Here is an 11,495-nt window from a genome sequence, read left to right on the forward strand (position 1 = left end):
TAAAGAACGTGGTCTTCTGAAGTTGTTTGGATTAGAAAATATTTCCTTTCCTTGTCAAGGTCATTCTGTTGTCACAATAAACAGGACAGGTTTCTTAAAAAATCTCAAGTGACTACAAAATTCGGCCTAATCGGAAATTTAACTCTGGTGCCATACTTAGTAAGCATTTTCTATGATCTCTCAGGCAAGCTGAATGCAGATATTTAATATGGGAGGAGATTGAGATTGGAGGAAATCTCAATTGTTTAACAACAACAACAAACCTTTTTAATCTCCTTTTTTATAAGATGTTGGGATATCAAGTTAGAAGCAACTTTATAAGTCATTTAAACCAATCTAACATTGGATTTCCTCTAGAGCATTCCTAACTCGGTCATCTTCTAACCTTGACTTGAAATTCAATGGTGGGGAGCCAGTACTCTTTATGCAACCTTATTCTTTCCTAGTTCAACTCTCTTTGACTGTTACTCTTTCTCTTTCCCTCCATCCCTGTCCCTCTGTCCCCGTCCCTACGACCCCATACCCCCCTCCCCCCACCGTCCGCTCCCCTCTCTCCCCCCACCGTCCGCTCCCCTCCTCCCCACTCCGGTGTCCTGCCCCGCCTCCAGCACCCTGCCCCCCTGTCCCCTCGCCCCCCCATCCCCTCACCTCCGCCCCCACCCTTCCCCTCCGCCCCCACCCTTCCCCTCCGCCCCCACCCTTCCCCTCCGCCCCCTCCGCCCCTGCCCTTCCCCTCCGCCCCCTGTGCCCCTACTCTTCCCCACCTCTTCCCTTCCTTCCCCTCCTCTTCCCTCCCCTCCACCCTGATTCTTTCCCTCCTCCTCTCCCACTCTCCCTGTGGGTCTCATGCCCATATCTGGTTCTCCCACATGATGGCTGTGTCTGATAACTTCTGTTTGCCTCTCCAGGGTTTCTTTTCATCCTTCTTCACTCCCCTCTGTCTTGGGAATCTGACGCATATGGAATTCTTTGTCCTTGGGGTCCTATATACTCTGAGTTTCAGCTAGACCTGGCCAAAGATGTGTCTTTGCAGGAGACTGAAAGGAGGGAGGAGAAGTATTCCAGTTGCATGTATTCCCTGGGGTCCCGTGGTGGGTTGCATTGTCTCTGATTGGCTTTGTCCCTGACTGTCACTGTTTCTTCAAGGACAGTTTCTCTCTCCATGACTTTCTTCTGGTTTTGATGACAACTTCCTGTGTGTCCTGCTGTGGCTGGCCATGGTACAGCTTCTCTGCTGCTGGCTCCAGGTTACTGCCTCGTCCTTAGGCTCTCTCACACCTGTAGCATTGTAAATAGTCCCTTTGCTGACAAGCCTTCTTCTAATTAACCCAGTTTGATAAAGCCATATGTTTCCAGCTGGGATGCTGGCTGATACAATAGCCCTTTAGATAATTCTGCAACAGCACTCAACTCTCCTTCTCAACGCAAATGATCCAAGACCCTGCACTTTTCCTTAAGGTACCTACCTGGCTTTAAATACTCTCTCCATCCTCTGAAATGTTTCAGGCAGACAGTTTTCCTCGTGAAGTATGGTATCCAGAACTGAAAGCAGTGGTCCTGAGGTGTGACAAAGTTAGACAAAGCCAGACTCTAGGTAAAGTGGTAGGGGCAGATTTTCATCAGTAATGGACCATTGCGACAGGGGGAAGAGTCCAGCATGAAGTGAACTCACCTATGATTTGTACAGAGGTGACGGGGCATGACGAAACGGGAGGGAGGTGACAGTGGTGTGGAGGTGGTGAGTAGGGCTCGGGAGAGTCAGAAGTGAAAATTACAAAAGGTAGGCAGGGTGGTGAGCCCATGTGAAACCCATCGGGGTCTAGGCTTCTGTTCTCGCCGGGGCTGGGAGGCAGGGACCTATCTTTAGGTGTTAACTAGAACACACTGAATTATTTTGGTAGCCTTGAGTTTCCTCAGCCTTGATCATTTTAACGGGGCTAGAGTCATCCTAGGGACATGGCCTTCAGTTGTGAGAAACTAAGTTTGTGTTTAAGTCTTTAGAGGTCAAGCGTAAGGCCTTGTTGAGAAAGGGCTCAGTGAAGCCTGGCTGGAGTTCAGTCAAGGAGAGAACCTTCCCCACTGGTTGTGGCAGAATACAACAGGCGTGTCCTTGATTGCCTCTGGATTGCTTGCCTTCGGAGACTGTTCAGCCAGGAACATGCTGAGGGCACCTGCACAGAGCTCCTCAGGACACCCCCTGGCACGGTGGCAGCATGCTGAGCTTGCGGTCACAGCTGTATGATGGGAGGCTCACTGCCATCAGACCACAATTCCCAACTCTGAGGCCAACTCTGAGTCTGTGAAGGTGGTGAACCTGCCGACCCCTGCTTCCCAGCATGGGGCTGAGTTAAATGAGCCTGTGTGGGCAGAACTTCTCTAAACCATTCAGGACTATGTAGGTATTATTATTACCATTATTATTAGGTGTTGCTTCTGCTCCTCCTCTTCCTCTTTTGATGTCTTCTTTTATTCTTCCTTTTCTCCTTTTATTCTCCCTTTCTGCCTCTTTCCCTCTCCCTGCCTCTCTGTTTTCCCTTCCCCTCCCCTTTGGCAGCAGCAGAAGTGGTGGGAATCTTTTCTTTGACGAGAAGGTATCCAGACATCCTCTCTGGACCCATGACCTGTTGGCATCCTCGCCGCTCCTTGAGGCCAGCTCCTGCTCGCTGATTTCCCAGCCCCTTCCCAGACCTGCTGGACGGGAACCCCTCTCCTTATCCTTGCAGGAACATTTGTTTTTCTCCTGGAGCATTTGCTACCCTTAACTTAATCTTAGAAAACTGGAGACAGAAGGCATCTTAGTTAAAATCTGGGTCTACTTAAAATTTTTTCTTAAAATAAATAAGTTGAATCTCAGGGGAAGTGACTTGTCCAAATTTGTAGAGGACTCAGGCCTCCCAGCCTCACATTGCTGGTGGGATGTCCTTGTGCCTCTGGGGACTGCCTGCCCTGCCCTGTCCTGGGGTGGACTGCCTGTCCTTTCCCGATTCAGTGCACACTCTTAAGAGGGCAGAGTCTGTCTCTCACTCTTCTCGGTTCTTCCCTATAGGGACACTTACCCACAACCTGGCGCAGGACAGCTCATGACATAAATGACTGTTGAGTTGAGCCTGGAGAGGAGAAACAAAACCTAGGATTGTCTGCAGTCGAATGCTAGCTAAAGGCTTATCTTCTGGCTTCTTTCTCCCCCCGAGATGATACACTGAGATCCTGTTCTTATCCAGGGCCAAGGTGGGATGCTCACTTTCCCCATTAATATTAACTGAACATTTTTGAGTATATAACTGGGGAGTTTTGCTGCATAGAGGTTTTGGAACACTGTCTTAAATTAAAAAGCTTGGGAGTACATGAAGGTGGAAATTTCAGTTGCTAGTAAGTGACTTCCTTGGCTTATTGCAGAGAGAAAAGTTAGCTGACAAGAGTGAATCTTCAAAGAATTAATTTACAAAACTACATGTTTAACATTGCAGCCTCAGCTGAAAGAGTCAGAGAGGAGAGAAAGTGCTGAGTGTGGGGAAAGTTACTGATGGCCTTGGTATCTTGCGAGCAAGGCAAGCCAAGTCAGCGTCCCCGGAGTGGGGCATATGGCCCTGAGGGAATGAATCTTTCAAATGAGCTACACTCTGCAAGGTAGCATCTTGCCTTTTCTCTGGGTAGGGCTTCTGGATCACAGGACCAGTGTCCTGGAGCCACCTTCCAGAGCCACAGCAAGTCAAGAAACCAGGCAGATTCTCATCATGCCATCAAGTTCTTCGTGTTCCTCAAGGAGGGAAGGCACTGCTGAAGTAGCATTTGTGATAGCTTCATGCAGAAGAGCACATTTGATTTTAAGCCATGGGAGCAGAAACTGATCCAAGACCTGGTCCTCTACTTCTTAATGTGGAATATTCTGTGCTCAGGTGCACCATCATCATGGCAGCATGCAGGGAGAATCAGGGAGAGAATGGGGTATTCTGAAGATGGCTGCAGCTTTGGAGTCAGACAGACTTGTTTTGGGCTGGAGCTTTGCCACTTACTTTCTAGATGACCTTCTATAAATACTTTGCATTGCCAAGGCTCAGTTTCCTCACCTGCGAAATGAGAGCCATTGCATTTAATGGCAGCCAGTATCTCTGCTCATAGGCGTGCTAGTGCCCAGCGTGGTGGTGATGGCGGTCGTCATGGTGGTGGAGGCTTGACCATCAGTGGGCCTTTTTCCATTCAGCATTTTGAGGTCAGGCTTCTTCATGGTGATTGGGAAGTGGCACCCAAGCACAACAGACAGAATCATGAGATTTCCTGGCTGGAAGGGATCACAAAGAGCCTCCTGTCCAGCCTTCTACATGGGAGGCTTAAATAAGTTTAAACTAGTATTTTATCCTCCACTTCAGTGTCTTCCTGATGGGGCATTCACTAACTCACTACTCCTGATGTTGATCAAGTGGTTTTTCTCTGGGCTACAGTTTTGTAACCTGGAAAATAGTGTTGATAAGAGCACGATTGTGGTGGGAGTTAGAGTTCACGGGTGTCTAGAGTCAGAGGTCCTGCCTGCCTCAAGACAGGAGCTCAAGACATGTGTTTTCTTATCTCTCTCTTCCCTTTCCCTCCCCTAGAAACTGAAACTGCTTGTTTCATCTTTGGATGGCTCAGGTTTTTTTGTTTTGTTTTGTTTGTTTGTTTGTTTGCTTTTGAGATGGAGTCTTGTTCTGTTGCCCAGGCTGGAGTGCAATGGTGTGATCTCAGTTCACTGCAATCTCCATCTCCCAGGTTCAAGTGATTTCCCTGCCTCAGCCTTCCAAGTAGCTGGGATTACAGGCATGCACTACCATGCCTGGCTAATTTTTTGTATTTTAGTAGAGACGGGGTTTCACCATGTTGGCCAGGATGGTCTCCATCTCCTGATCTCATGATTCACCCGCCTTGGCCTCCCAAGGTGCTGGGATTACAGGTGTGAGCCACTGTGCCTGGGCAGCTGAGTTTTTCAAGCAAGTTCTGATTACCTGAGGCTTTCACCCATTGGCCTTGGTTTCCCTCTCTGTGGCCACACAGGAATTTTGGAGGTGCACACCACTCACGTTCCCCAGTGTCCTCTCTTCTCCAGTTCCTGGTTCCTTTGGCCACCCGTTATCACAATGTGGGGTGCAGCCCCTCACCCTATTTGTTCTTTTCTGAGTGTGTGTCTGCTTCCTTCTTAAACTGTGGTGCCCATGAAGTTCAGAGCTAGACGCAAATTTTGGGAGTATATTACCAGACCCTTTAGTTTACAGTCCCACCAACAGTGTAAAAGTGTTCCTATTTCTCCACATCCTCTCCAGCACCTGTTGTTTCCTGACGTTTTAATGATCACCATTCTAACTGGTGTGTGATAATATCTCATTGTGGTTTGGATTTGCATTTCTCTGATGGCCAGTAATGATGAGCATTTTTTCATGTGTCTGTTGGCTGCATGAATGTCTTCTTTTGAGAAGTGTCTGTTCATATCCTTCACTCACCTGGAGAAACAGAGGACCGATAGGAAGAGAGTTAACACAGCAAGTTCTGCCATGGTCAGGGCACGCCCACCAGTAAGTGTATTCTGATTTATGCAGTGATGGCTATGATGTTCTTTTGGCAGCAATTTTTATACTTTTATTAAAAAGTTTTTCTACTCCCACCAGAAGAGGATCCAGATGCAGCAAAGGGCTTTTTGAGGGGTTAAAAGAGCATCTGGGTTCTTCTAGAAAATTCTTGTCTGACAGCATTTTACATCCAACACCAGTTGTTGTTCCTTAGCATAACCACACTTGAAACTTGGATGAGAATCCACTCTTTGAAGCCAGTGCAGCTATTATGTAGAGACATGAAGTGGTTTATTTTTATTCTACATGTAACAAGCATGATGAAGGCAGGACTCCCCTATGAGATGGGGCTCAAGTACCCCTCCAGTTATATAGTAGTGAGGCTGTAGACAAATTCTTCCACCTCTCCAAACTTCAGTTTCCTCTCTCTCTCTTTTTTTTTTTTTTTTTTTTAGACGGAGTCTTGCTCTGTCACCCAGGCTGGAGTGCAGTGGCACGGTCTTGGCTCACTGCAACCTCCACCTCCGCCTCCTGAGTTTGAGTAATTATCCTGCCTCAGCCTCCCGAGTAGCTGGGAATACAGACACGTGCCACCATGCTTGGCTAATTTTTTGTAATTTTAGTAGAGATGGGGTTTTACCATATTAGCCAGGATGGTCTTGATCTCCTGACCTTGTGATCCACCCTCCTCGGCCTCCCAAAGTGCTGCGATTACAGGCATGAGCCACTGCTCCCGGCTTCAGTTTTCTTTTTTTAAAGTGAGGGTAATGATCTCTTCATCGTCGAATACCAAAGGTTGTTTGAAGATTAGGTGAAAATAATGTTCCAAAGAACTTTTTTGAACTATAAAGCATGATACACAAGTATACTTTCCTGCAAACTAGACTGAATTAATTTCCTTCTGCTCAGTTACCTTCAAATTCCCAGCCATCTTGGTCACCTGAGGCAGGTTGAAAGACTGGAGTATATCCAAGTCTATTGTACTGGTGTTTCCTTTTCTCAAGGTCAAGTTCAAGGGCCCAGTTTTCCTGAATGTCTTCTTTTACTACATTTGGTCCTGTCCTTGGAGTCTAGTCCTGTTTTTTTTTTTTTTGCAGGTGATAATAAGACTAACATTTATTGAGTGACTCCTGAGTGCCAAGCCTTTTTTCATTTAATATTCACAACAACCCTGTGCATAAAAAGTAGACAGTGCTCATTTCCATTTTTGTAGAATGGGAAACTGTGCTTAGGAGAAGTTAAGTAACTTGACAATGGTTACATAGCCAGTAAGTATTGGAGGCAGGATTTAAACATGTTTAAGAACTATAAGCCCTATATTGTCTCCTTAAGCATTACATAGTTATTGCCTTTCCACCTGAGTTCTAAGAAGTTTCTTGAGATGTATCCACCTACACATCTCCCCAGTCTCCCTACCCCAATAAGATTAGTTCCCAACTTCGCTGGTAGCAATTTTATGAGATTTCTTTTTTTTAAATTATTATTATACTTTAAGTTTTAGGGTACATGTGCACAATGTGCAGGTTTGTTACATATGTATACATGAGCCATGTTGGTGTGCTGCACCCATTAACTTGTCATTTAGCATTAGGTATATCTCCCAATGCTATCCCTCCCCACCCCCCCCCACCCCACAATAGTCCCTGGTGTGTGATGTTCCCCTTCCTGTGTCCATGTGTTCTCATTGTTCAATTCCCACCTATAAGTGAGAATATGCGGTGTTTGGTTTTTTGTCCTTGTGATAGTTTGCTGAGAATGATGGTTTCCAGCTTCCTCCGTGTCCCTACAAAGGACATGAACTCATCCTTTTTTATGGCTGCATAGTATTCCATGGTGTCTATGTGCCACATTTTCTTAATCCAGTCTATCATTGTTGGACATTTGGGTTGGTTCCAATTCTTTGCTATTGTGAATAGTGCCGCAATAAACATACATGTACATGCGTCTTTACAGCAGCATGATTTATCATCCTTTGGGTATTTACCCAGTAATGGGATGGCTGGATCAAATGGTATTTCTAGTTCTAGATCCCTAAGGAATTGCCACACTGACTTCCACAATGGTTGAACTAGTTTACAGTCCCACCAACAGTGTAAAAGTGTTCCTATTTCTCCACATCCTCTCCAGCACCTGTTGTTTCCTGACTTTTTAATGATCACCATTCTAACTGGTGTGTGATAATATCTCATTGTGGTTTGGATTTGCATTTCTCTGATGGCCAGTAATGATGAGCATTTTTTCATGTGTCTGTTGGCTGCATGAATGTCTTCTTTTGAGAAGTGTCTGTTCATATCCTTCGCTCACTTGTTGATGGGGTTGTTTTTTTCTGGTAAATTTGTTTGAGTTCATTGTAGATTCTGGATATTAGCCCTTTGTCAGATGAGTAGGTTGCAAAAATTTTCTCCCATTCTGTAGGTTGCCTGTTCACTCTGATGGTAGTTTCTTTTGCTGTGCAGAAGCTCTTTAGTTTAATTAGATCCCATTTGTCAATTTTGGCTTTTGTTGCCATTGCTTTTGGTGTTTTAGACATGAAGTCCTTGCCCATGCGTATGTCCTGAATGGTATTGCCTAGGTTTTCTTCTAGGGTTTTTATTGTTTTAGGTCTAACATGTAAGTCTTTAATCCATCTTGAATTAATTTTTGTATAAGGTGTAAGGAAGGGATCCTGTTTCAGCTTTATGGTTAGCCAGTTTTCCCAGCACCATTTATTAAATAGGGAATCCTTTCCCCATTGCTTGTTTTTGTCAGGTTTGTCAAAGATCAGATAGTTGTAGATGTGTGGCATTATTTCTGAGGGCTCTGTTCTGTTCCATTGATCTATATCTCTGTTTTGGTACCAGTACCATGCTGTTTTGGTTACTGTAGCCTTGTAGTATAGTTTGAAGTCAGGTAGCGTGATGCCTCCAGCTTTGTTCTTTTGGCTTAGGATTGACTTGGCAATGCGGGCTCTTTTTTGGTTCCATATGAACTTTAAAGTAGTTTTTTCCAATTCTGTGAAGAAAGTCATTGGTAGCTTGATGGGGATGGCATTGAATCTATAGATTATCTTGGGCAGTATGGCCATTTTTATGATATTGATTCTTCCTACCCATGAGCATGGAATGTTCTTCCATTTGTTTGTATCCTCTTTTATTTCATTGAACAGTGGTTTGTAGTTATCCTTGAAGAGGTCCTTTACATGCCTTGTAAGTTGGATTCCTAGGTATTTTATTCTCTTTGAAGCAATTGTGAATGGGAGTTCACTCATGATTTGGCTCTCTGTCTGTTACTGGTGTATAAGAATGCTTGTGATTTTTGCACATTGACTTTGTATCCTGAGACTTTGCTGAAGTTGCTTATCAGCTTAAGGAGATTTTGGGCTGAGACGATGAGGTTTTCTAGATATACAATCATGTCATCTGCAAACAGGGACAATTTGACTTCCTCTTTTCCTACCTGAATACCCTTTATTTCCTTCTCCTGCCTGATTGCCCTGGCCAGAACCTCCAGCAGTATGTTGAATAGGAGTGGTGAGAGAGGGCATCCCTGTCTTGTGCCAGTTTTCAAAGGGAATGCTTCCAGTTTTTGCCCATTCAGTATGATATTGGCTGTGGGTTTGTCATAGATAGCTCTTATTATTTTGAGATACATCCCATCAATACCTAATTTATTGAGAGTTTTTAGCTTGAAGGGTTGTTGAATTTTGTCAAAGGCCTTTTCTGCATCTATTGAGATAATCATGTGGTTTTTGTCTTTGGTTCTGTTTATATGCTGGATTACGTTTATTGATTTTCGTATGTTGAACCAGCCTTGCATCCCAGGGATGAAGCCCACTTGATCATGGTGGATAAGCTTTTTGATGTGTTGCTGGATTTGGTTTGCCAGTATTTTATTGAAGATTTTTGCATCAATGTTCATCAAGGATATTGGTCTAAAATTCTCTTTTTTTGTTGTGTCTCGGCCCAGCTTTGGTATCAGGATGATGCTGGCCTCATAAAATGAGTTAGGGAGGATTCCCTCTTTTTCTTTTGATTGGAATAGTTTCAGAAGGAATGGTACCAGCTCCTCCTTGTACCTCTGATAGATTTCGGCTGTGAATCTATCTGGTCCTGGACTTTTTTTGGTTGGTAAGCTATTAATTATTGCCTCAATTTCAGAGCCTGTTATTGTTCTATTCAGAAATTCAACTTCTTCCTTGTTTAGTCTTGGGAGAGTGTATGTGTCAAGGAATTTATCCATTTTGTCTAGAGTTTCTAGTTTATTTGCATAGAGGTGTTTATAGTATTCTCTGGTGGTAGTTTGTATTTCTGTGGGATCGGTGGTGATATCCCCTTTGTCATTTTTTATTGTGTCTATTTGATTCTTCTCGCTTTTCTTCTTTATTAGTCTTGCTAGTGGTCTATCAATTTTGTTGATCCTTTCAAAAAACCAGCTCCTGGATTGATTGATTTTTTGAAGGGTTTTTGGTGTCTCTATTTCCTTCAGTTCTGCTCTGATCTTAGATATTTCTTGCCTTCTGCTAGCTTTTGAATGTGTTTGCTCTTGCTTTTCTAGTTCTTTTAATTGTGAAGTTAGGGTGTCAATTTTAGATCTTTCCTGCTTTCTCTTGTGGGCATTTAGTGCTATAAATGTCCTCTACACACTGCTTTCTGCTTTGAATGTGTCCCAGAGATTCTGGTATGTTGTGTCTTTGTTCTCATTGGTTTCAAAGAACATCTTTATTTCTGCCTTCATTTCGTTATTTACCCAGTAGTCATTCAGGAGCAGGTTGTTCAGTTTCCATGTAGTTGAGAGGTTTTGAGTGAGTTTCTTAATCCTGAGTTCTAGTTTGATTGCACTGTGGTCTGAGAGACAGTTTGTTATAATTTGTGTTCTTTTACATTTGATGAGGAGTGCTTTACTTCCAACTATGTGGTCAATTTTGGAATAGGTGTGGTGCTGAAAAGAATGTATATTCTGTTGATTTGGGGTGGAGAGTTCTGTAGATGTCTATTAGGTCCGCTTGGTGCAGAGCTGAGTTCAATTCCTGGATATCCTTATTAACTTTCTGTCTCATTGATCTGTCTAATGTTGACAGTGGGATGTTAAAGTCTCCCATTATTATTGTGTGGGAGTCTAAGTCTCTTTGTAAGTCACTAAGGACTTGCTTTATGAATCTGGGTGCTCCTGTATTGGGTGCATATATATTTAGGATAGTTAGTTCTTCTTGTTGAATTGATCCCTTTACCATTATGTAATGGCCTTCTTTGTCTCTTTTGATCTTTGTTGGTTTAATGTCTGTTTTATCAGAGACTAGGATTGCAACCCCTGCCTTTTTTTGTTTTCCATTTGCTTGGTAGATCTTCCTCCATCCCTTTATTTTGAGCCTGTGTGTGTCTCTGCACGTGAGATGAGTTTCCTGAATATAGCACACTGATGGGTCTTGGCTCTTTATCCAATTTGCCAGTCTGTGCCTTTTAATTGGAGCGTTTAGCCCATTTACATTTAAGGTTAGTATTGTTATATGTGAATTTGATCCTGTCATTATGATGTTAGCTGGTTATTTTGCTCGTTAGTTGATGCAGTTTCTTCCTAGCCTTGATGGTCTTTACAATTTGGCAAGTTTTTGCAGTGGCTGGTGCCGGTTGTTCCTTTCCATGTTTAGTGCTTCCTTCAGGAGCTCTTTTAGGGCAGCTCTGGTGGTGACAAAATCTCTCAGCATTTGCTTGTCTGTAAAGTATTTTATTTCTCCTTCACTTATGAAGCTTAGTTTGGCTGGATATGAAATTCTGGGTTGAAAACTGTTTTCTTTAAGAATGTTGAATATTGACCCCCACTCTCTTCTGGCTTGTAGAGTTTCTGCAGAGAGATCAGCTGTTAGTCTGATGGGCTTCCCTTTGTGGGTAACCCAACCTTTCTCTCTGGCTGTCCTTAACATTTTTTCCTTCATTTCAACTTTGATGAATCTGACAGTCATGTGGCTTGGAGTTGCTCTTCTCAAGG

At 43.7% G+C, this 11,495-nt stretch overlaps 1 annotated feature.

Annotated features, from left to right (window-relative positions):
* Positions 1,947-1,996: an enhancer, noted in NCBI's record as "active region_15329". NCBI's record gives its function as "activates an Ori minimal core promoter by ATAC-STARR-seq in GM12878 lymphoblastoid cells {active_cell/tissue: GM12878}" and the evidence as "EXISTENCE:reporter gene assay evidence [ECO:0000049][PMID:35858748]".

This window comes from Homo sapiens, chromosome 2 (assembly GCF_000001405.40).
Source record: "Homo sapiens chromosome 2, GRCh38.p14 Primary Assembly".
NCBI lineage: Eukaryota > Metazoa > Chordata > Mammalia > Primates > Hominidae > Homo > Homo sapiens.